General features: G+C 39.1%; 1 protein-coding gene and 2 pseudogenes across 5 annotated transcripts in view; 1 reads left to right on the top strand and 2 right to left on the bottom strand.

Annotated features, from left to right (window-relative positions):
* ZFYVE9 (zinc finger FYVE-type containing 9) overlaps positions 1 to 26,972 on the bottom strand; it is a 204,546-nt gene that overhangs the window by 73,160 nt on the left and 104,414 nt on the right. For 3 of the 5 annotated variants that reach the window (NM_004799.4, XM_047434682.1, XM_011542437.3), the window contains exons 5-7: positions 9,603 to 9,702; positions 6,644 to 6,820; positions 4,843 to 5,012 (exon numbers count right to left, since the gene is read on the bottom strand). In NM_004799.4, coding sequence (NP_004790.2) covers positions 4,843 to 5,012; positions 6,644 to 6,820; positions 9,603 to 9,702 — 447 coding nt within the window. The remainder of the gene's footprint in view (positions 1 to 4,842; positions 5,013 to 6,643; positions 6,821 to 9,602; positions 9,703 to 26,972) is intronic. The other 2 variants (NM_007324.5, XM_047434674.1) reach the window with 1 other exon arrangement.
* On the bottom strand, positions 19,092 to 19,908 carry ANAPC10P1 (anaphase promoting complex subunit 10 pseudogene 1; annotated as a pseudogene).
* On the top strand, positions 20,592 to 21,521 carry DNAJC19P7 (DnaJ heat shock protein family (Hsp40) member C19 pseudogene 7; annotated as a pseudogene).

Genomic DNA, 26,972 nt, shown 5'->3' with positions numbered 1-26,972 from the left:
TGTTGGTTGGCGTTAAATCCACTTAATTATTAAATAGAACATGCTCAAATGTTTATTAAAATGATGCTCTCCTCTCTACATTCTCTATAACTTTTATTTCCCATACTATACAGATGTATATTCTCTATAACTTAAACATGAAATAGAAGCTTTTAAAGAGTTAAAAGAGGCCAGGTGCGGTGGCTCACGCCTGTAATCCCAGCACTTTGGGAGTCTGAGGTGGGTGGATCACCTGAGGTCAGGAGTTTGAGACCAGCCTGGCCAACATGGTGAAATCCCATCTCTACTAATAATACAAAAATTAGTTGGGCGTGGTGGCGCATGCCTGTAATCTCAGCTACTAGGGAGGCTGAGGCAGGAGAATCACTTGAACCCAGGAGGCGGAGGTTTCAGTGAGCTAAGATCGCACCATTGCACTCCGCCTGGGCAACAAGAACAAAACTCCGTCTCAAAACAAAAAGTTAAAAGAAAAACAGTAAAAGCTGTTTTTAACATGTATAACAATATTCATACGGCCGGGTACAGTGGCTCACGCCCGTAATCCCAGCACTTTGGAAGGCCAAGGAAGGCAGATTGTTTAAGGACAGGAGTTCAACATCAGCCTGGCCAATATGGTGAAATCCCATCTCTACAAAAAATATAAAAATTAGCTGGGCGTGTGCCTGTAATCCCAGCCACTTGGGAGGCCGAGGCAGGAGAATTGCTTGAACCTGGAAGGTGGAGGTTGCAGTGAGCCGAGATCCTGCCACTGCATTCCAGTCTGGGCAACAGAGCGAGACTCAAAAAAAAAAAAAAAAAAAAGATTATTTCTAGCAGCTTCATTTCATTCATAATAGCCAAAAACTGGAAACAATTTGAATGGCCACTAACAGGAGAACATAACATAAATGATGGCATATCCATACAATGGAATACTACTCAGAAATAAATTAATTTTTGATGCATATGGATAAATCTCATAATATTAAGTTGAGCTTAAAAAGCTAAACACAAAACATTATATACTATTGTTTGGATTTATATGAATTCAAGAATAAGCAAAACTAATCTGTAGGGACAGAAGTGAGAACAATGGTTACCTTGATGAAAGGAGAAGGTACTGACAGAAAAAGTGCATAAGGAACCCTTATGGAGTGCTGGAGATGTTCTGTATCTTCACCTGAATGGTGCTTACATATTTTATGTGTGTGTGTTTGTGTGTGTATACACACATGCACATATATATAAAACCATGTATAAATTCAAGGTGTTTCCTAAAGATTCATGCTCCTTAGTCATGCATTTTGCTACATATATTGTATACCTGAACAAACATTAAAACTATTTCTTCAAAATATGGCTGGACATGGTGGCTCATGCCTGTAATCCCAGCACTTTGAGAGGCCAAGGAGGGGAGATCACCTGAGGCCAAGAGTTCAAGACCAGCCTTGCCAACATGGTGAAACCGTCTCTTACTAAAAATACAAAATTTGCCAGGTGTGGTGGTGGGCGCCTGTAATCCCAGCTACCCAGGAGGCTGAGGCAGGAGAATCACTCAAGCCCAGGAGGCGGAGGTTGCAGTGAGCTGAGATCATGCCACTGCACTCCAGCCTGGACAACAAGAGCAAAACTCTGACTCAAACAAAGAATAAAATAAAATAAAATAAATATGCCCATGTTTTGCCATACTTCTGTCTCTACTTAGGACAAAGTTTTTAGGACTATACATTTTTAGTGGGATTTCTAAAATTTTCCGGTATGGCATCATATAGGAACTTTATAAAATTTTACTGGCAAACTACCATTAACTGACTTGAAGGCCTGGTACAGAAAATAATCTATTCTAACCTACTATTGAATGGTGCAAAAATCCTCCTTTTAATATCATAAAAAGTGGTCAGTTGGTCTCTACTTAAATGCCTTCTGTGAAAAGGCATTTACTGTGGGGCTTAAAATCTAGATGACGGGTTGATGGGTGCAGCAAACCACCATTGCACATGTATACCTATGTAACAAACCTGCAGGTTCTGCACATGTATCCCAGAACTTAAAGTATAATAATAATAATAAAAAGACATTTACTTCATTTACTGGGCACTTGTTAAGTGCCAGGCACTCTACTAGACCATAAAAATAAGAAAAATATTAATATTTTCTAGTCTGGCATTAAAGAGTTTGCTTTCTCTCATTTTACCACATAAATATTAGAGTGTTGCACAATGTGAGAGCACAAAATAATGTGGCTTAGCCTGTCTTATAATGAGCAGAAAATTGTTTCCCTATAACATTCACTCACTAGACTTTCCTCATTCTTTCAAAAATATTTATAGTTTAAGAACCCATCATACAAACTAAGAGATAGGAAAGAAATTTAACAGAAAGAGAAAATCATCACCCTCCTGCCTCAGCCTCCTGAGTAGCTGGGACTGCAGGCATGTGCCATCATGCCCAGCTAATTTTTTAATTTTATATAGAGACAGAGTCTGACTATGTTGCCCAAGCTGGTCTCAAACTCGGGGTTCAGGCAATCCTCCTGCCTTGGCCTTCCAAAGTGCTGGGATTACAGATGTGAGCCACTGCACCCAACCCAAACTAATACTTCTTGATGTGATCCTTTAAGAAATCACCCTCACTTATGTAGGATTGTCATTACTGCCAAAAAATGTTTAATCTGAAACTAGTCATGAGAAAAAAAAAAAACAGACAAATACAAATTGAGAGTATCATGTAAAACATGGCCCAAATACTTAAATATTAATGATATAAAAACTTTAAAAAAGAGAGAGAACTATTCAAGATTAAAGCAAACCAAAGAAATATGACAACTAAATGCAACTGTGGTCCTTAATGAGATCTTGATTTTTAAAAATAAATTTTATTTTAAAAATTAATATATCTGTGCACACACATATATGTAAAAATGAAAGCTATAGGCCAGGCGCGGTGGCTTACGCCTGTAATCCCAGCACTTTGGGAGGCCAAGGAGGGCAGATCAGGAGGTCAGGAGATCGAGACCATCCTGGCTAACATCGTGAAACCCCATCTCTACTAAAAATACATAAAAATTAGCTGGGCATGGTGGCGGGCGCCTGTTGTCCCAGCTACTCGGGAGACTGAGGCAGGAGAATGGCGTGAACCCGGGAGGCGGAGCTTGCAGTGAGCCAGGATCGCACCACTGCACTCCAGCCTGGGCGACAGAGCAAGACTCCATCTCAAAACAAAACAAAACAAAAAAATTAAAGCTATAAAGAACATTATTGTGACAATTGGGGAAACCAGAATTACATGTTAAGTTTCCATCTCATGTGATAATTGCATTGTGGTTGTATAAGAAAATGACTTTTCTTAGGGTACACAAGCTGAACTATTAAGTGGTGAAGTGCAACCAATCCTTAAATGGGTCATAAAAAAAAAGCGTGTGTACTGTGAAGTGGTAGAGCAAATGTGGCAAAATGGTTAAGTTGATGAAGATAGGTGAAGAGTATATGGGTATTCACTGTACTATTCTTGTAACTTTTCTGTAGGTTGAATTTTTTTCCAAATAAACAGTTGTGGCCAGGCTTGCCTACAGTCCCAGCTATTTGGGAGGCTGTGGCAGAAGGATTGCTTGAGCCTGGGACGTTAAGGCTGCAGAGAGCCATGTCTGCGGCACTATACTGGAGCCTGGGCGATAGAGTGAGACCTTGTCTCAAAAAAAAAAACCAAAACAAACAAACAAAAAAACAGTTGGGGGGAATAAAGAAAAAACTTTCTTGACAAAGTCACTGTGGAGATACAAAGAAGGATAAGACACAGTTCTGGCTGTCACCCTCTGCAGCCACAGAAAAATTCAAAAACTAGAAATATTTGAAGACAGATATTACATGGTTCAATAACTCACCAAACAGGTAAGTCAGCTCTGCATGTCAAAAAATCTAATCTTAACAACATGCAATTTCAATTACAATCAAACTCACAAATTATATAGGATGTAAATGTCTAAAAAAATATTACTTATCATTAATATAAATAATTAGTAACTAACAATTCTATGAAAACATCAGGAGTAAAATTTTTATCCAATCCTGATAGGGTGTGGTGGCTCACACCTGTAATCCTAGCACTTTGGGAGGCTGAGGGGGTGGATCACTTGAGGTCAGGAGTTCGAGACGCAGCCTGGGCAACATGGTGAAACCCTGTCTCTACTAAAAATACAAAAATTAGCCTGGCATGATGGCAGGCGCCTGTAATCCCACCTACTTTGGAGGCTGAGGCAGGAGAATTGCTTGAACCTGGGAGGTAGAGGTTGCAGTGAGCCAAGATCACGCCACTGTACTGCAGCCCGGGCAACAGAGACTCTATCTCAAAAAAAGAAAAAAAAGTATCCAATCCTAATGTAAAATGTGGACTTGGGTTGGCTACGATGTGTCAGTGTAGGTTCAACAAGTGTAACAAGTGTACCACTCTGGTAGGGGATGTTGATAAGCCAGGGTTTTAAACTCAGCTCCTCAGGCCCTTTCATGTTACCTGCTCTTCCTCACCATAGCACTCCTGAGAGGCTGCCATGGAACCTGGGGAACATGCTTTAAAAACCAATGTAGCAAGGGGACAGAATTCCCCACAGCCCGACTGCTAGCTAAAGTGGAGCACCTGAGCTCATCTGAGAACAATCTTCATTAAGAACCTTTCTCCTGAAAAAACTTCTAAATATACAGCAAAGAACAGCAGCTGATTTTTGCCACATTTACTTTATCCATATATGTGCACGTATACACTAAGTTGTATCCAAAACCTACAGAGTTCCACACAAAAGTAATTCAACAGAGGCAGCACAATGCTGAGTAAAGTAGCTATGCAATTTTAGTTGCTGTTTTGTTTTCTTACCTCTGCTGGTAGAGGACTGGTAGTTACTGGCTTGACTGGGTCGTGTGACACAGCCAGGGTTCCTGCAGAGGAAGTTCCATTCATTGTTAATTTGGCTGCATCAGCAACTTCTCCATTGGGCAAGATCCCATCAGCAAACCAAACTCGCCTCTGCTCTCTGGGCTGAGCCACTTGAGGGGCCAGAAAAATAAAACAGGCATCAATGTGGCATTGGAAGGTTTTCTAACATCAAAGAAGAGAAGGTCACCAATTCCAGATGTACAAAGAAATCATTACTTGGCAACTTACAATCAGAAACATCAGAAATGTAACTGTATATAAAAGTGGTTATAAATGAATTAAAAATACAAATTTAAATATATTCTTTACTTGTTTAACTTATATGCAAAGAGTAAAATACTTTGCTTTGAAATATTAAGAGTTCTTAAATACATCTATGATTATGTCACATACTCTGTCCCGTATCACTGACAGAGAAACTAAGGAAAGTGTTCAAGGGCCTCGGAAATAAATTAATAGCATGGTGAAAAAAGCAATAGACATTCACATTTTCTAAAGTTATGAGGTTTCCAAAGAAATTAAACATCTGGTAAAGTGATATGGTACTTTCAAAGGGCAAAAGATGCCCTGAAGAATGTTAAAGAATAATTCATTTATAACAGAAGAGCTGGCACAGATATGTAAGAATTGGGAAGCAAACTGACCAGATCTTTGCCTGAAGTGTAACTGAAGAAGAAAAAGACTGATCTGGCAGTGCAAAAGTAATTTGTGTTTTAGTAAAAAGACAGGGAAAAAGCTGGAAAACTGAGTCTGATGAAATGATCCCTTTAAGTCCAGTTTTAGAAATCAATTCAAACAGCCAAAACACACAGAGACTAGGGAAGAACAACAAAAACAACAAATGAAGAGAATAAAGATTTTAAGAAAGCCTAAATTCATAAAAATACAAGGAGTATGACTAAGGGATGATCTGAAAAGAGAAAAAATGGGGAAGAGTATGATAATGTCAATAGAAGTCTATGATCTTCAAAAGGAAAGGTGGGTTATTTAGCAAGGGGAAGGGAATATTAATAGATGAAAAGATAAAATTAATGAAGGAAGACTGATTTTAATTACCAAGGGAAACTTGATAAGATCATTTTAAGGAAATAAATGTTATTTTTACTATTCATAATCCCCTGCACTTACACAGTGCCTTTCATCTGACAATATTATCATCATAAAGATATAATAAACCAATGTAAGTTGAGCCTGTAATTTTCTACCTATCATATGATATAATCAGAATTAAAGTTCTAGATTTAAAGTCTATGTCCCTAACACAAAAATGTTCATATTTTTATATGGACAGATTAAAAATGAAAAGAGAAAATGGCAATGTATACTCCAAAAAGCAATACTTGAATGGGCTGGTCGGAAAGAAGAACTCTCATTTTTATCACTTACTAAACTCCTACAAAGAACATTAAGACAGGCATGAGGTAGGCTAGGAATTTACAGATTGACTTCAAATTCTGCACCTCTTTTTAAGGACAAGCAGTGTAATTACTCCATTCTTAAGTTGGAGAGGAGACTGACATATATTCTGAGGTGCCTCTAAAATACCAAGCAACACAAATATTATTCTCTACTTGCCCAGAAATAGTCTTGACACATTTCTCACCTTGTTGTTCCATTTTAATAACCACCCAAAGAGACTTATCTGCAGTGTTTTTTAAGACTTGTGCTGTAAAGTCATATCAGCACCTTTTCAGAGGAACTTCGTGAGGAAAAAGAGAGAGAATAGCACATGATCCCCTACCTTCTGCTCCAGGGTGCTTTAAAACTCCCACAGGTACCATCACAGTGGGAGGTGGAGAGCTCAGAGCTCCTGAGGCCTGAGCTTGCTGCAAGGGAGGGATAGTAGAACAGTATTCAGCAGGATTGTTAGGGTTAGGGCTCTGGCTTGAGGCACTCATCATGTTCTCCCAGGCTTGAGCTAAAGCAAATACAGACACAATCAATGTGAATGGATTGCAAAATATGGACATCAAGACCTCCACAATATTGGATAAATAATGCAGCTTCTCCTAATTAATACTCATAGTATGTCTCTCTTCCACCTAGTGAAGGTATTAAAGAGATAGGTGATTTTATGTAATAAAGGAGACCATTTAGCCAAGTAAACTATTTGGTTGGAGCAAATAAGAGTAACATGATTTTTTTTTTTTTTTTTTTTTTTTTTTTTAAAGAATTAGACCGGGAGTGGTGGCTCATGCTTCTAATCCCGGCACTTTGGGAGGCCGAGGCGGGTGGATCACGAGGTCAGGAAATCAAGACCATCCTGGCTAACGTGGTGAAACCCCGTCTCTACTAAAAATACAAAAAATTAGCCAGGTGTGGTGGCAGGCACCTGTAGTCCCAGCTACTTGGGAGGCTGAGGCAGGAGAATGGCATGAACCCGGGAGGTGGAGCTTGCAGTGAGCCAAGTCACACCACTGCACTCCAGCCTGGGCAACAGAGCAAGACTCCATCTCAAAAAAATTAAAAATAAAAAAGAATTATAGGATACTTCTGATAGACTGATAGCAGATCAATCTGAGTTAAAGGTTGGAGCCTGGTTTCTTTATAGGAGACCAAACATTTCCTTAAGAGGGAGTCAAACAACATCAAACTTTAAGAATTTGAAACTTGGATAGCATTTAGACATTTTTTCATTTAATATTTAATGCATTTTATAAAGTTCTATCAAAAAGCAAAATCAGGGGCTAAAATAGAATAACTCTACTGTAAAATTTTAAGTTTCATTTCTAAACTTTTAAGGCTCTTGTTAGTTAAAATAAAATCTCATTAAAAATTTCTAAAGCCTAAAGCTCAGGAGGACACATCTCAATCTTTTTCTGAATTCTGCTTTTATGTAATCATCACCCTGTATAAAACTATCCATCAGTAACAACCATTTCACATCTTTGGTGTGTCTCAAAAGCACAGGACCTATTTGAACATGAAAATGTGCCAATATCATGTAAGTGTGATCAACCAATATAAATGATCACAAATACATTAAGATTCTGTGTACCCTATAATTTCACTAAATACTGACACATCACCTATCGCCTTTAAAGCAAATAGGATGAAAGGTGCTACAGAAATGAAAGATACCAAATTTTATCTTCTAGGTTCAGGTAATACCACATGCCCAGAAATAGAAGCCACCCTCTTTTTAAGCATCCTTTCAAAAATCTCTTTCAACATCAAAGAATGATCCATAGGATTTTGAATATTTATTGCCTCCAAACTGCAAGACAAGGCTAGTAACAAAAGCTATGTTCCTTTGAAAGCACTGGCAGAAAGAGGGGAGGAAGAGAAAAGGAGAAAGGGAAAAAGGGATAGGGAACACCGAAAAGCATCAAATTAAATATTAAGAAAAAGACCGGGCTAAGCCATGCGAGAGGAAAGACACTGGAAAAACCAGGAAAAGTGGATTACCTTAGGATCCCCTGTTAAGGGCCTCCTTGGCTTAATAAAAAGTAAGTATTCCATGTGAATCCTCTGCCATTTCCTTCATCTTTAGCTATGCCAAGTTAAAAAAATTAGCTATCAAGTTGGAAGATCTCATCAAATAAAAGAGGTATTAGGTACTATAATTAAGCAGCATGCTCTTATCTGTGAATATGTGCCCGAAAATGAAAGCAGCAGAATAAAAATCATCAATTGAGCAACCAAGTGAAATAACCACTATTTAAAAAGTAACCCTTAAGAGTGGAGAGAATGATTCATATTTGGTCAAAATTGTAAGAATTCAGAAATGGGAGGAAACTGGGTGGATCATAGGAAATTAGAACAGATCAGATTAACTGTCATGCAACAGGTTAATAAGCCAGCAACAAGAAAACATCACTATCAGCAATGCAGACGGACAGAGCAGGAGGGGTCTCAGAGCAGATAAGTTCCAGCCTCCAGGAGGCACACTATCCTGGCACAGGTAGCACTGGTGTTCAAGTTCAACATTTTATGTCTATTAGTAATTGTTCCAGTAACTGTACAAAGATGCATTCAAAGAGAAAATACTATAACCTGAACAATTTTAGTGTATCTTTTTACAAGAATACTCAGGGTTTTTAACTAATATGCCCTTAAAATCATTTCCAGTCCAGCAAAAGATGAACACTGGGTAAGTTTTATTTACTTTCCCCGGCCATATTCTTTTTACCACGTAACAACTAGATTCTAAACCATTATTCTCATAGCAAATCTAAGTAGCATTAAAGAGATAAATGGGCTTTAAAAATGCAATTTTCTACTTGGTCCTAGATGCTAAAATAGTTATCTTCAACAAGATGAATGAAACAAGGTGTTGATAAGAACACATGCTAAGTTATTAAGTTGTTCCTTAGAAAGAGATGGCTTCTCTTAAAAGGAAAATCTCAGCCCAGTTTTAACATCTTATCATCTGGTGATCAAAAGCTCCCCATTCCCACCTCACTCTGGTTATTTTATAGGAACACAAATAACTACCTCGCACCAGATTTCCAAAGAACTTCCATTATTCCTGCAAAACTTACCTGGCTTTAGCATTTATTCATTAAATTAGGCACAGGAATTCTGAAATGCTAAGATACTTTCAAAACATGGAAATTTAGCTAAATATTTTCAGTTAAAGTTATGACATTTGAGAAGGTGAGCAACTTGTAAAGAAAGGCAGGGGGAAAAAAGTCTTCTCATCGTAATTCCCTTGTTTTGTCTCAATAACTATGAAATCAACCTGTTTTAATACTTACCATTCATTAGCACTGAATGGCAGATTACACACACTCTAGCTTCCTTTCTGTCCATGTATAACAGTTTACATTTCAGGCTACAGCAGGAAGCACAGAAAACCTGTGGGGGGGGGGGGGGGAAGAACACACAAAATTTACTTGGGATTGCCATGCAAAGAGAGTGAACCAATATTGACAAACACTGATTGTCAGTGAACCTTATTAAACTACAATACTAAAGTTTCAAAGAAAATGTAGTTCAGGAAGTTGGGTAATTCAAAAGCAAGAGTGAGATTACAAGTCTGTCAACAATAAAGAAATGGGAAACATTGGCTGAAAATAAAAATCTTAACTAAGATCACGTGGCAAATATACAGCAGTGGGGAAAAAACCACCTGAATTACCCCTAGGCAAGATTTCTATGCACACAATCACCTAACATGGGTGTTGAAAGATAGTTACATGTGCTATTTCCGTTTGGAAAGGAATTATAGCAGGATGAAATAAACAAAGATTGGAATTTCTGTGTTTTAACTTCTGTTTGTTACTATCCTTATATGTGGAATAATAACTATACCAGCTGTTTTCACTGTTTTTGCTATGAAGGCCAAGGGTCAATATATACAACTCAATCATAAACAAACGCACTGCTTTAGCTACAGGAAATCACAGCAGGCAATCAAAATCTGCCATGCCAATTTCCACCTTCTGGGCTTGGTTCCTGGTAATCTCACTTCCTTCTCCCCTCTACACCAGGCAACAACAATCTCCTTTGTTCCTGTTAAGATTTCTTTTCTTTTTTTTTTTTTTTTTTTGAGACACAATTTGACTCTGTGGCCCAGGCTGGAGTGCAGTGGTGCGATCTTGGTTCACTGCTGCAACCTCCACCTCCTGGGTTCAAGTGATTCTTCTGCCTGAGCCTCCTGAGTAGCTGGGACTTCAGGTGTAAGCCACCACGCCTGGCTAATTTTTTTTTGTATTATTAGAAGAGACGGGGTTTCACCATGTTGGCCAGGCTAGTCTCAAACTCCTGAACTCAAGTGATCCACCCACCTCGGCCTCCCAAAGTGCTGGGATTACAGGCGTGAGCCACCACACCCGGCCAGATTTATTTTCTTGAGAACTCATCAGTCATTTACCACATAGAGCCTTACAGTGGCAAAAGCCTGTTCCCAGTAGGATAAATTCTACTTCTTCAGTTTTTACAGCCAAGAAGCATCCTATACTTTACAAAGTTGAACCAAGAGATGAGGGGTCATATTAAAGTCTAAGTTAAGCTCGATATCTCCCATCCTTCTATGTATAATTAATATCTAGTTACTATGACTGTTATCAGTTTACAATTTTTATAGGGCTTGACATTCTTAAATGTGATATAGGGAGATATCCCTGTGATACAGGGAGAACAAAGGGTATACATATTATCCTTATTTTCTATCAGAAGAAACTGAGTTTAGATGGTTAAATGACTTCCTCAAGTTCACAGCAAACTATATGACTACTAGGCACTTTACATGTGTTACATTTAACCTCAAAAATTCCATGAAGACACTCATTTACAATTAGCAGTTAGGTAAACAGATGAATGTTCCAAAACTCCTATGTTGAAATCTTAACCCCAAAAGAGATGGTATTAGGTAGTGGGGCATATGGGATTAGTGCCCTATAAAAGAAGCCTGAGGGAGACTCCTCACCCTTCTGCCCTGTGAAGTTAGAGTGAGAACACAGCTGTCTATAAGTAAGCAGGCCCTCGCCAGATACCAAATCTACCGTTGCCTTGATCTTGGACTTACCAGGCTCCAGACTGTAACAAATCTCTGTTATTTATAAGCCATCTAGTCTATGGTATTTTGTTATAGCAGCCCGAATGGACTAAGACATTAAGTAAAATTACCAGGGTCATACAGCTAGTAAATTACATGATTAATCTGTATGACTGCAATGGCTCTATAGTTAACTACTCTGTAATACTACTTCATACTAAATTACATATTTCATTTAAATTTTGAGTCTTGACTTTTCCTTCTCCCTCGCCATGACCACATCCAGTCAGTCATTAAGTCCTGTTAGTTTTCCTCTGAAATTGTTCTTCCAAAATCACATCTTCTCCTATCTCTAACATTGCTGCCTCTGTTCAGGCTGTTATTATCTGAGGACTAAACGATCATGATGATAACCTAACTGTTCTCCTAATCTTCACATCTGCCTTTCCAATTAATCTTCCAAACAAAGACTGAACTTTCTAAAAAATAAATCTAATAATGTTAAATTTCTTAAAATCCTTCAATAACCTTTCTAATAAAGAGACAAAACCAAGAATCCATCATTCACTCATTTATTCCACAAATATATGAACTCTTACTATGTACTGGGCACCAAGCTACCCAATGGGGATGTGGCAGAAAACAAAACGGACATGGTCCTTGCCTTCATGCAATGCAATTTAGTGCAAGGGTTTCAGGTTATAACCTAAAATCAAATAATAACACAAGGCTGGGCATAGAGGAGTACACCTATTGTCCCAGCTACATGGGAGGCTGAGGCAGGAAGATGGCTTGAAGCCAGGAGTTTGAAGACACACTACACTATGACTGCACCTGTGAATGGCCACTGCACTCCTGTCTGGGTAACACAGCAAAACCCTGTCTCAAAAAAAAAAAAAAAAAAGAAAGAAAGAAAAAGAAAAACCATACAAGTGAATATAAATCACGTGTTTCAAAAGTGGTAAATGGTGAAATAAGATCATGTAATCTAGGCTCTAGCCTAGATTGGCAAGGTCAGGGAAGATTTAGGAAATGACAAGACATCAAATCTGAAGGATGGGTAAGAGTTTTCTGTGAACAAAGAGGTGCCAAGAAGAGACAGTAATAGTAGAGGAAATAGTATGTACACAGTTCCTATTAGGGGAAGAAGCATGGACCCACCAAATAACTAAAAAAAGTTAATATGGCTTGAGGCCCCAAGAGTTAAGGGATGCATGGAATATGCTGAGGCCAGACCAAGCAAAGGCTCTGTAGGATCTGTTTTGACCTTTTTAATAGAGCAATGGGAAAGCCCTTAAGCATTTTTTTTTCTTTGAGCTAGAGTCTTGCTCTGTCGCCCAGGCTGGAGTGCAATGGTGTGATCTCAGCTCATTGCAACCTCCGCCTCTAGGGTTCAAGCCATTCTCCTGCCTCAGCCTCCCAAGTAGCTGGGATTACAGGTGTGTGCCACCATGCCCAGCTAATTTTTGTATTTTTAGTAGAGATGGGGTTTCACCAGGTTGGTCAGGCTGGTCTTGAACTCCTGACCTCAGGTGATCTGCCCGGCTCAGCCTCCCAAAGTGCTGGGATTACAGATGTGAACTACCGTGCCCAGCCCCCACTTAAGCATTTTAATCAAAGAGAAAGACATGATCAGATCTGTATGGGCACAGTGTAGGGAGAAAAAAAAGGAAGAGAATAAGAATGGATTTGGGAAACCTTAATGAGCTACTACAATTATTACAAAAAAATTAATTTATGATAAAAACATGAGCTTCAATAACCAACAAATACCTCCAAGGAAATAAGGCAAAGAACTCACATTGGTAAATACACAGAAAAAATAAATAAAATGGCCAACAGATATAGTAAATACCACACATGACAAAATAAAACAATGAGTTTTATAGTATGTTTTTACTATGAGACTAGCAAAGATTTTTTTTTTAAACACTGATAATATCTAACGGTGGTGAGGGTATAGCTCTTAGATTCTGCTGGTAGTAATATACGCTGGTAGGTTAATTTGACAATATCTTTTAAAATTGGAAGTGTTTATTCAGTATGACTCAGCACACAGTTTTAAAATTTTACACTACTGAAAACATCCACATGTGCAAAGAGATCTACACAAGAATTATCTCCATATTGTTTATAATAAAAGTTGTAAACAACCCAAGTGTTCATCAGTAGTGTAACAGCTAATTAAACTGCAGTATACCCATAAAATGGAATCCCGTTCCCATAAAAAGAATGAAATAGTTCTGTATGTACCGATTGACATGGAAAAGAAAAATATAGTCAAGTTGGAGGATGAGATTGGAATGGAAGTAGGGCCTTTTTCTTTTTTATTTTTAGACACAGTCTTGCTGTGTCGCCCAGGCTGGAGTGCAGTGGCACCATTTCAGCTCACTGCAACCTCTTCCTCCCAGGTTCAAGCGATTCTGGTGCTTCAGCCTCCTGAACAGCTGGGATTACAGGTGTGCACCACCATGCCCAGCGATTTTTTTTTTTTTTTTTTTTTTTAGTAGAGACAGGGTTTCGCCATGTTGGCCAGGCTGGTCTCGAACTTCTGACCTCAAGTGATCTGCCCGCCTGGGCCTCCCAAAGTGCTGGGATTACAGGCATGAGCCACCACAGCTGGCTATCTTTTCTCTCCTTTTACTTTATATAATTTTTTAAATGTTGTATTGGGATATTTTTATTTTATTTTGATTAGTTTTTTCTGTACTTTTTAAATTAGAAAAAAATTTAAAAAAATTAGTTGCTTTTATGGGTTGAACTGTATCCCCCACAAATACTTAAGCTGAAGTCTTAACTCCTAACACCTTAGAATGTGACCTTATTTGAAGATAGGGTCTCTACAGAGGTAATCAAAATGAAGTGATTAGGGTAGTCTCCTAATCCAACATGACTGATACCCTTATAAAAGAGGCAAATATGGACACAGGTATACATACAAGAACACCACCATATGAACATGAAGATGTCGATCTACAAACCAAGGAGAGAGACATGGAAGAGATCTTTTCCGTACAGCCCCCAGGAGGAACCAACCCTGCTATCACCTTAATTTCAGACTTCTAATAACTGTGAGATAATAAATTTCTGCTTAAGCTGCCCAATTTGTGGTATTTTGCTAACTGTAGCAAACTAATATAGTTGGGAACATTCAGAAGTAGTGAGTTAGGCTTTGGGACAATAATCTCAAATAATGATTTTTGAATAAAAAACAAAGTATCTTAAAAAAAAAAAAGCAAGCAAGGGAGCAGCAAATGGAGTAAACACAGAAGAACCCAAGAATACCCATCTTTCTCAATATCCCACAGGCCGAAGAACAGTATAGAGAGATCCTTTACGTTTCCAATGAGATTAGAGGAAAGCACAGGAGTTAGCTAGAAAAGTAGATGACTCTTCAACGCCAGACTATGACGTAGTGAGATTCATAGGTCATAAGAATTAGTATCACAGAGGAGATGGGCAGAATCTAAGAGATTTGAGCCAGGTTTGGGATAGTTTAAATAATCCTGAATTTGAAATTACTGGATAATAGTCAATTTTGCCTAAAAAGATCAAGATGAAATTGTCTACCATGAGCCAGGTTAGTCAGTGCTTCTCAACAGGGGCACTCTTGGCATTTTAGGTGGGCCAGTTCTTCATAGGACAGTACTGTCCTGGGCATAGCAAGATGTTTAGCAGTCTTGGTATGCACAGGTTGCTAAATGCCAGTAGCAACCTCAGTCATTCTGACAACTAAAAATACCCCACTATATTCCATATACCATCTAAGTACCTTCCCCAGTTCTCTAAGCTACAGGCTTAGAGTAAAAAAGTAAAGTCAGTTCTAAAAATTAAGAAAATTACATATTTGCACACCTGAACTTAAATTATACTGCTGAAATATCTTACCATATGCCATATATCTTTATCACAACACAATCTACTGCACTGATTGAACTTATTCTCCATTTCCCCACACTAGAATGTAAACTCCATGGAATAATGAGCTAAATTATTTTTAATACTGGTATCTTCAATATTGTGTCTGAAACATAGTACTCAGTAAATATTTGCTTATTGCTTCCTTGAAAAGTAAAGTTATTGCATAAATAAATGTATGACTGGGACTAGGTGCAGTGGCTCATGTGTGTAATCCCAGCACTTTGGGAGGCCAAGGCAGGTGGATCACCTGAGGTCAGGAGTTTGAGACCAGCCTGGTGAAATATGGTGAAACCCTATCTCTACTAAAAATACAAAAATTAGCCAGGAGTGGTGGCAGGCGCCTATAATCCCAGCTACTCAGGAGGCTGAGGCAGGAGAACCCAAGAGGTGGAGGTTGCAGTGAGCAGAGATCGCGCCACCGCATTCCAGCCTGGGAGACAAGAGCGAAACCCCGTCTCAAAAAATAAATAAATACATAAATACATAAATGTATGAATGGAGAAACAAACATTAATGTAAACTTTTTGGGGAAGGACTATATGATTCATATCCAAATTCAGAAAATAATCTAGAGCCATTCAACTTTTGCAACAACACATTTTAATCTGTTTATAAGAATGACCTCAAGATTTTTATGCCTAATGGTTACAGCTGACATCATATGGCAGGATCCGTATGACCTGCCTAAGCATAAAGAGACAAAGTAAGGTAATTTATAATATATATTCTATACGATGTTCCAGCTAAGTACTGGTTAAAAGGTTCCATTTGTGTGTTTATATGTAATTTTTTTAAATGTGGCACTTCTGTGTTCCTATTTCAACTTGATTATTCTCTAGTCAGATGACCTTATGGGAATAATTTAAACTCTCTAGGTCTTAGTTTTTCTCACATGTAAAATAGAAATGCTAATACAGTATTTCCTTCATATGGCTTTTATGAAGATTAAATGAAATTATATGTATAAAATGTAGCATATAATAGGTTCTAAATGTATGTTGGTACCTTTCTTATTTCCCTTTCCTTTCCTTTTAAAATTTCCCACTACAGGCTTTCCACATAACAAATCCTATTGCTAAATCTGTGAACATGCTTTATATTCAAAGTACCACTTTGTGCCTATTTATACCCTCTTACAGTGTGAATAACACTTATTCCTTTGCAATTCTTGAAAATTCAAATCATCAAATGCTCACTTATTTCTTTCCAAATTAGAAAATGCAAAAAATGATGTCCCAGGTCTTCAAAAAGCCCTATAATTATGACAAAAATAACTGTGATGTGAGAATAATAAAAACAGGAGAGGAGAGTGCATAGAACTGACCAGTGTCCAGCTGTTCACAAAGACCAGTGAAAGTAACAACTTATAAAAATTGTCAAATGCAGGAGTACTTTATCCCTCCACTTATTAGCACATAGCAAAAATCAGTATCATAAGATCTAAAGCAGTTCAAACAAATCCAGACCCTTGCCTCTGTCTAAACACCTGTTTAAACTTCACTGTTATTAATAGAAAACAATAATAATTATCAGAGTCATTTTAAGTGTCCATTACAGAAAGGGTTAAAAGAGATCTCTAATTCAGACTTTCAATATTATATCCAACTGAGGCTGTACCAGCCCAGCCAACATGGTGAAACCCCATCTCTACTAAAAATATACAAATCTGCTGAGCGTGGTGGCACATGCCTGTAATCCCAGCTACTTGAGAGGCTGAGGCAAGGAAAATTGCTTAAACCTGGGAAGGGAAGCAGAGGTTGCAGTGAGCTGAGGTTGTGCCACTGCACTCCAGCCTGAGCGACAAGAGCAAAACTGTCTCAAAAAAGAAAAAGAAAAAAAAAAGAGCCGGGCATGGTGGCTCATGCCTGTAATCCCAGCACTTTGGGAGGCTGATGTGGACAGATCACAAGGTCAGGAGTTCAAGACCAGCCTGACCAACATGGTGAAACCCCGTCTCTACTAAAAATACAAAAATTAGCTAGGCGTGGTGGTGGCACACGCCTGTTATCTCAGCTACTTGGGAGGCTGAGGCAGGAGAATCACTTGAACCCAGGAGGTGGAGACTGCAGTGAGCTGAGATCGCGCCATTGCACTCCAGCCTGGAAGACAGAGCGAGACTCCATCTGAAAGAAAGAAAAGAAAGAAAGAGAGAGAGAGAGAGAGAGAAAGAAAGAAAGACAGAAAGAAAGAAAGGAAAGAAGGAAGGAAGGAAGGAAGGAAGGAAGGAAAGAAAGAAAGAAAGAAAAGAAAAGAAAAGAAAAGAAAAGAAAAGAAAAGAAAAGAAAAGAAAAGAAAAGAAAAGAAAAGAAAAAAGCAAAATAGCTCAAACTCAATGAATTAAAAAAAATTTTTTTTGAGTCAGAGTCTCTCTCTGTTACCCAGACTAGAGTGCAGTGATGCAATCTCGGCTCACTGCGACCTCCCAAGTAACTGAGACTACAGGTACGCGCCGCAATACCCAGCTAATTTTAGTATTTTTAATAAAGATGGAGTTTTGCCACGTTGCCCAAGCTAGTCTTGAACTCCTGACCTCAGGTGATTCACCTGCCTCGGCCTCCCAAAGTGCTGGGATTACAGGCATGAGCCACTGCATCCAGCCTAAAATTACTTTTTTTTTTTTTTTTTTGAGATGGTTTTGCTCTTGTTGCCCAGGCTGGAGTGCAATGGTGCGATCTCGGCTCACCGCAACCGCCGCCTCCCAGGTTCAAGCGATTCTCCTGCCTCAGCCCCCTGAGTAGCCGGGACTACAGGCATGTGCCACCATGCCCGGCTAATTTTGTATTTTTAGTAGAGTCAGGGTTTCTCCATAGGTCGGTCAGGCTGGTCTTGAACTCCCGACCTCTGGTGATCCGCCCGCCTCAGCCTCCCATAGTGCTGGGATTACAGGCATGACCCACCGTGCCTGGCTCTAAAATTACTTTTTAAAAATATGTTTCCTTCAGACATATCTGTTTTTATGCCCAAGAATAATTTAATTGTAAACAAAGCATAAGCTTGCATTCTGTTCTATTCATATGTCATCATAAGCATTTTCTACACTGCCTTGTAATAATTTTTAATGGCTGAAGCAAATATATGTATTGTACTTAACTTACCATTAACCTTTTTTTTTTTTTTTTGAGACATGGTCTCGTTTATCACCCAGGCTGAAGTGTACTGGCACAATCATGGCTCACTGCAGCCTCGACCTCCTGGGTTCAAGTGATCCTCCCAACTCAGCCTCCCAAGTAGCTGGGACTACAGACATGCCCTACCATATCCAGCTATTTTTTAATTTTTAGCAGAGATATTATGTTGCCCAGGCTGGTCTCGAACTCCTAAGCTCAAGGAATCCTTCCACCTCAGCCTCCCAAGTAGCTAGGACTACAGGCATGTACCACCACATCCCGCCATTTTTTAATTTTTAGTAGAGATGAGGTCTCACTGCGTTACCTGGGCTGGTCTCGAACTCCTGAGCTCAAGTGATCCTCTCACCTTGGCCTCCCAAAGGGCTGGGATTACAGGAATGAGCCACCACACCTGGCCCATTATCCAATTTTGGACACAAATTACTTTAAATGTATTTGCTATTTAGTAACACTAAAATACACATCTTTTTGTTTACTGCACTTGTTTTAAGAATTATTTACTCAAAAAAGGAATCATTAGCTCAAAAAATTGGAACATACGTCCCCTTTTGTTTGGCAGAGATGAGGTCTTGCCATGTTGCCCACACTGCTCTTGAACTCCTGGGCTCAAGCGATCTGCCTGCCTCGGCCTCCCAGAGTGCTAGGATTTACAGGTGTGAGCCACCACGCCCAGCCACACATATGGCTTTTTTTTTTTTTTTTTAGTAATGTAAAATATGTGAGCTTTATTACATGTTAAAGATAATATGACCCAAATTTATCAAAATTACAATAAAATATTTTTAAATATATATAAAGTTGCAAATAACTGATGTTTTTTTCAATAAAGGTAACTGATATACTATTTAAAGACAGGATAAAACAAAGATACGTTTAATGACTTCCATATCATTTTAAAGTCACCTTATTGAACAATACATCATGAAATCTATAGTTGTACATCTAGGAAATTTACCAATGGCGCTCTCTTCTACCAGTGTGTATATTTTAATTTGTCTCATATGGGTGGGTGTCTTTTCCATTTTGATGACTGGCTAGAACAGCAATCTGTATCATTAACGTCCAAGTTGGCTTCCTATGATTATCAGTTAAGGGAATATGAATCCAGCCACTTGGTTCCACCAATTCAAGTTGCCGAATTTCTTGAAGGTTGTGAAAATTATTTCCTACTTTGGCTGAAATCTTGCTTGGAGTATAGCTTTCATCAGATTTGTAGTCTGCATAAATATATAATGTCTTAACTGTTGTTTTTCTTCTGAATTGGATGTTCACTAAATGAGGCTGGGAGCCATCTGATTGCCAATAAGTTTCTAGATTGTCATCTCGTAACTGATCCACTCCAAATCCTGGTTTGCAAGATGAGAGTGACCAAACAGCTTGTGACCCAATTTCCCGTACTGTTCCAGTCTTTTCCAACTGCTCAGGGTCAGTACCAGGAGGTGCCTTGTTTGGTGTGGTCATTTTTTAAGTATTCTGGCTGCTTGCCAAAACTCAGGTTCTCAGGATCTCCAGCAGCTCTGTGCCACTCCCACTCGGCTTCCTAGGACAGCCTGGGTTCCCCAGCGACCCACGTGTGGCTTTTTAAATGTGTAAATATGCCAGTGTCAATTTCACTATCTATCATACTATCAACATTTTCTATTTTTTGTTATATAGGCATAAAATTTTAAAAATTTTAATTTCTACCTCTTAGTATCTAGTAAATTAAAATATTTCTCCATTGTTTACTAACCCATCTAAACATCTTTTTGCCCATTTATATATTGAAAATGTGATGGTTTTAAAAACTAATGTAGATGCTGTAAATAATAAAGACACTTGGCCAGTTGATACTGTATAACCAACTTCTGATTTGTTCTGCCAGAGGAAGCATTGATTTAAGACTCGATATACAACAACAACATAAACTGTGTTTTTCTTTCTTTTTTGAGACAGGGTCTCACTCTGTCACCCAGGCTGGAGTGCAGTGGTGTGAGCACAGCTCACTGCAGCCTCGATTACCCTGGGCTCAGGTGATCCTCTTGAGTAGCTGGGACTACAGGCACATGCCACCATGCCCAGGCTGGTCTAGAATTCCTGGGCTCAAGTGATCTGCCTGCCTTGGCCTCCCAAAGTGCTGGGATTACAGGCGTGAGCCACCGCACCTAGACTGTTTTTCAAATAATCCTCTTGTTTAAAAAAATTATAATCCAGTGTATTGTGCTTGCCATCGGTGCCTGTGTCACTCTCTGGTAAAGGTGTGTCATTGTTGGCCGCAACCTCTGGGCTGGGATGAGCCATGCTCCTGGTGCAGTAGGGGAGCCCAGCCATGGCCAGTACAGTGGTAGCAGTCGGACTGACCATTGCTGCTGCAGGATTTGCAGGCTGTTATGTTTTGCAACCCTTATATAAGGCATGTGGAACCTCAAGTAAAACAAATTTTTCGGCCAGGCGTGGTGGCTCATGCCTGTAATTCCAGCACTTTGGGAGGCCAAGGTGGGCGTATCATGAGGTCAGGAGATCGAGACCACCCTGGCTAACACAGTAAAACTCGTCTGTACTAAAAATACAAAAAATTAGCTGGGTGTGGTGGCATACGCCTGTAGTCCCAGCTACTTGGGAGTCTGAGGCAGGAGAAACACTTGAACCCAGGAGGCAGAGGTTGCGGTGAGCCGAGATTGCGCTATCGCACTCCAGCCTGGGCAACAGAGCAAGACTCCGTCTCTAACAAAACAAAACAAAACAAAACAAAACAAAAAAACCCCAAAACAAACAACAACAACAACAACAACAACAAAACAAATTTTTCAAAGTCTACCAAAATCTGCCTTCAGTGGTGGCTATTACAGAGGTATGTTTGAACCCGAAACGACAAAATGGAAAGCAGCATTAATAGTAGCTGTAAGCACTACTGCCAATAAAGAGAAAATAAGAGGTGCTCATTGACAAATGATGCTCTTAAATCATCCAGGTAGATCTTCTGCTATCATAACCAAAAATAAATGGAGCAAAAGATTTACTAGAATGTCAAGCTAAAAAATGAAGTAAATGTATGAATTTTAAGTTCATATTACTTTATGTATATGAGTACCAATTTTTTGTAAAAAAAAAAAAAATGCCTCAACGCTACAACAAAAATGTGACTTACCTAGATTAAATGGATAAACTTCTAAAAACACAAAACCTACCAAGACTGAATCAGTAATAAACAGAAAATCTGAATAAACCTATAACTAGTGGGGAGACTGAATCAGTAATCAAAAACTTCCCAACAAAGTAAAGCCCTAGATCAGATGATTTTGGTGGCAAATTCTACCAAACATTTAAAGAACACCAATCCTTCTCAAACTCTTCCAAAAAATTGAAGAGGAGGAAATACTTCCTAACTCCTTCTGTGAAGCCAGCACTATCTTGATACCAAAACAAGGCAAACATATTATAAGAAAACTATAGACCAATATTCTGTATGAATGTATACTGATACAAAACTCAAGAAAATAATAGCAAATTGAATTGAACATATTGATAGAATTATACACCATGACCAAGTGATATTTATTACTGGAATGCAAGGATAATTCAACTTATGAAAATCAATTAATGTAATCACATTACCTGAACAAAATGAAACAAAAAACCCCAAATGATCATCTCAATTCATACAGAAAAAGCATTTAACAAAATTCAACACTCTTTCATGATTTAAAAAAAACTTTAAAAAACCCTAGTAACAGAAGTAAATTATCTCAGCATAATAAAGGCCATATATTAAAAACCCAGAGCCAACATCATATGCACTGGTAAAAGACCGAAAGCTAGCCTGGCCAACATGGTGAAACCCTGTCTCTACTAAAAATACAAAAATTAGCCAGGCATGGTGGCATGTGCCTGTAATCCCAACTACTCAGGAGGCTGAAGAAGAAGAATTGCTTGAACCCGAGAGGCAGAGGTTGCAGTGAGCCAAGATCGCGCCACTGCACTCCAGCCTGGGTGACAGAGCGAGACTCCATCTCAAAAAAGAAAAACAAAAAACAAACAAACAACAACAACAACAACAACAACAACAACAACAACAAAAACGACTGAAAACTGGCCAAGCATGGTGACTCACACTTGTAATCCTAGCACTTTGGGAGGCCAAGACAGGCAGATCGCTTGTGCCTAGACATTCAGAACCAGCCTGGGCAACACAGTAGACCTCATGTCTACTAAAAATAAAAAAAAATTAGCCAGGTGTGGTAGTGCACGCCTGTTAGTCCCAGCTACTTGGGAGGCTGAGGTGGGAGGATACCTTGAGCCCAGGAGGTTGAGGATGCGGTGAGCTGAGATCATGGCAGTGCACTCAAGCCTGGGTGACAGAATGACACCCTGTCTCAAAAAAAAAAAAAGACTGAAAGAACTTTTGCTTTAAGATAGAAACAAGACAAGGATACATACTTTTGCCATATCTATTTAACATAGTATTGGAAATTTAGCCAGAGCAATTAAAAATAAATAAAAGGCACCCAAGTTGGAAAGGAAAAGGTAAAATTATCTCTGTATACTGACAACATATGCTACATTTAGAAAACCTTAAAGATTCCCCGCAAACACACAAAAACTGTTAGAGCTAATAAATGCGGCAAAGTTTCAGGATACAAAAATCAACAAAAAAGTCCATTGCATTTCTACATACTAATAATGAATTATCCAAAAATGAAATCAAGGAAACAATTCCATTTACAATAGCATCAAAAAGAATAAAATACCTAGAAATTAACTTAACCAAGGAGGTAAAATACTGTACAGTGAAAACTACAAAAGACAAAAGATTGCTAAAAGAAATTAAAGAACATACAAATAAATGGAAAAACATTCCATGTTCATGGACTAGAAGGCTTATTATTAAGATGTCAACAATGCCCATAGTGATCTACAGATTCAACGCAATCTCTATCAAAACCCTAACCATGTTTTCTGCAGAAACAGAAAAATCCATTCTCAAATTCAAATTGAATCTCAAGGGATCCAGAATAGCCAAAATAATCCTGACAAACTACAACCCCAGAGGACTCACATTCCATGTTTTCAAAACTTACTATGAAGCTATGGTAATCAAAACCATGTGGTACTGACATTAAAGACAGACATAAAGACCAATGGAATAGAAAAAAGCCCAGAAATAAACTCTCACTTATATGGTCCAGTTAGTTTTGACAAGAGTGCCAAAACCATTCCATAGGAACAGAACAGTCTTTCCAACAAATGATACTGAGAAAACCAGATATCCACATTCAAAAGAATAAAACTAAGCTAATACTATACACAAAAAATTAACTCAAAATGGATAAAAGACCTAAACGCAAGCACTAAAACTGCAAAACACTTAGAAGACAACATAAGGGAAAGACTTCATGACATCAAATTTGGAGATGATTTCTTTGATATGACACCAAAAGCACAGGCAACAAAAGAAAATGTAAGTTGGAGTTCATCAAAATTAAAAACTTTGGTGCATCAAAGGACAACAGAATGAAAAACCCAAGAATAAGAGAAAATATCTGCAAATCATTTATGTGATAGGAGACTGAATTATATATAAAGAGCTCTAAAACTCAACAACAGAAAACACAACCCAATTTAAAAATGGGCAAAAGACCTGAATAGACATTTCTCCAAAGATTTTTAATATAGAGACCAGTAAGTACATGAAAAGAGGCTCAACATCACTAACCATCAGAGAAATACAAACCAAAACCACAATGAGATACCACTTCACACCTATTAATATGGCTATATCAAAACAATAGAAAACAAGTGTTGACAAGTGTATTAGTCTGTTTTCACATTGTTATGAAGAACTACTGGAGACTGGATAATTTATGAAGAAAAGGGATTTCACTGACTCACAGTTCCACAGACTTAACAGGGAACATGACTGGAAGGCCCCAGGAAACTTACAATCATGACAAAAGGCAAAGGGGGAAGCAAGCACATCTTACCGTGGTGGAACAGGAGAGACAGAGCATGCAAAGGGGAAAGTGCCACATACTTTCAAACAACCAGATCTCATGAGAACTCACTATTATGAGAACAGCAAGGGGGAAATCTGCCCCCACTATTCAATCACCTCCTACCAGGCCCCTCCCCCAACACATGGGGATTACAATTCGAGATGAGATTTGGGTGGGGACACAGAGCCAAAGAAGATGTGGAGAAACTGGAGCTCTTGTGAATTGTTGACGGGAATGGAAAATTGTGCAACTGCAGTGGAAAAAGAATATGGTGCTTAATCAAAAAATCAAACACAGGACTACCATATAATCCAGCAATTCTACTTCTGGGTATATACACAAAGAACTGAAAGCAGGGACTCAAACAGATGCTTGTACACCCATGTTCATAGTAGCATTATTGGTAATACCCAAGAGGTGGAAACAACTGAAGTGTCCATTGATGGATAAATGAATTAACAAAATGTGGTACATACATACAATGAAATATTCAGACTTAAAAAGGAATGAAACTCTGATACACACTATGTGATGATTAGTATTAAGTGTTAACTTGACTGGATTGAGGAATGCCTAGATGGCTGGTATTGTTTCTGGGTGTCTCTGTGAGGGTACTGCCAGAGGAGACTGACATTTGAGTCAGTGGACTGGGAGAAGAAGACCCACTCTCAATGGGGGTGGGCACCATACAATCAGCTGCCAGTGCACTAAAACAAAGCAGGCAGAAGAAGCAAAGATAAGCCTGCTTGCTGAGTCTTCCTGCTTGCTTTCTCTTTTTCCTTGCCAGATGCTTATATCCTCTCCTCCTGCCCATGTACATCAGACTCCAGGTTCTTTGGGCTCTGGATTCTAAGACTTGCACTAGCAGCCTTCTGGGGGTCTCTCAGGCCTTAGGCCTCAGATTGAGGGCTGCACTGTTGGTTTTCCTGCTTTTGAGGCTTTCAAACTTGGGCTGAGCCCTACCACTAGCTTCTCTTTCCCGAGGTTGCCAATAGATTATTGTGGGAATTCACCTTCTAACCATGTGAGTTGATTCTCCCTAATAAACTCTCGTATATATACATATATCCTACCTATTAAAGTCATATATATATATCTATATATCTCCACATCCTATTGGTTCTGTCCTTCTGACTAATACATGCTACGACATGGATGAAATGTGTAGACACAAAGGTACAAACATTGTGTAACCACTCTTATATGAGGTACCTAGAATAGTGAAATTCATACAAACAGATGGTAGAATAGCAGTCACCAGGCATTAGGGGCAAGGAAAGATGGGAAGTTATTAAGTTTGAGATGATAAAAATGGCCAGGCACAGTGGCTCACACCTGTAATCCCAGCACTTTAGGAGGCCAAGACGGGCAGATCACCTGAGGTCAGGAGTTTGAGACCAGCCTGACTAACATGGCGAAACCCCGTCTCTACTAAAAATACAAAAATTAGCCAGGCATGGTGGTGGGTGCTTGTAATCCCAACTACTCGGGAGGCTGAGGCAGGAGAATCACTTGAACCCAGGAGGCAGAGGTTGCAGTGAGCCGAGATTGCGCCACTGCACTCCAGCCTGGGCAACGAAGCGAGACTCCGTCTCAAAAAAAAACAAAAAGCTCTGGAGATAGTTGTTATGGTTGTACAACAACAATGTGAATGCATGTAACGCCACTGAACCATATACCCTCAAACCCATATACACTGGTAAATTTTATGTTATGCATATTTTACAATAAAAAATTGTGACTAGTATTTAGAATGTATCAGCAGACTAGATATTGAAAGGGAGATGGCTTTCAGGAGAAGAGATGCAAAAAAACAAAAAATAGCATGAACTTAGTGCAAACATTTTCTAGCTACATGTGTTTTATCCCACTTTGCACCTAAGTTATCTGTTAATAACATTTGGTACTGAGTGAGGGCCTACTACTACCTTTCTGCTTCCCAAGGAGCCCAACCAGTGGCCATGTTTTAAAATCAAAGGCAGCCAGGAGCAGTGGCTCACACATATAATCCCAACACTTGGGGAGGCCGAGGTGAAGAGGATCCCTTGAGCCCAGGATTTCGAGACCAGCCTGGGCAACATTAAATTTTTTAAAAAATTAGTGGCCGGGCACAGCGGCTCACGCCTGTAATCCCAACACTTTGGAAGGCAAAGGTGGGTGGATCACCTGAGGTCAGGAGCTCGAGACCAGCCTGGCCAACATGATGAAACCCCGTCTCTACTAAAAATAAAAAAATTAGTCGGGTGTGGTGGCAGGTGCCTGTAATCCCTGCTACTTAGGAGGCTGAGGCAGGAGAATCGCTTGAACCCAGGAGGTAGAGGTTGCAGTGAGCCAAGATCTTGCTACTGCACTCCAGCCTGGGCAAGCAACAAGAGTGAAACTCCATCTCAAAAAAAAAAAAAAAAAAAAAATTAGTTACACGTGGTGGCACATGCTCGTAGCCCCAGCTACCCAGGAGGCTGAGGTGGGAGGATCGCTTGACCTTGGAAGGTCAAGGTTGCAGTGAGCCACCATCATGCCACTGCACTCCAGCCTGGGCAACAGACCAAGAGTTTGTCTCAAAAAAAAAAAAAACCCAGGAAAAAAAACAGGATAAAAAAAATCCTT

Source organism: Homo sapiens, chromosome 1 (genome assembly GCF_000001405.40).
Source record: "Homo sapiens chromosome 1, GRCh38.p14 Primary Assembly".
NCBI classification, from domain to species: domain Eukaryota; kingdom Metazoa; phylum Chordata; class Mammalia; order Primates; family Hominidae; genus Homo; species Homo sapiens.
The sequence above is the reverse complement of the archived record's forward strand: the minus strand, read 5'-3'. Positions and strand labels throughout refer to the sequence as shown.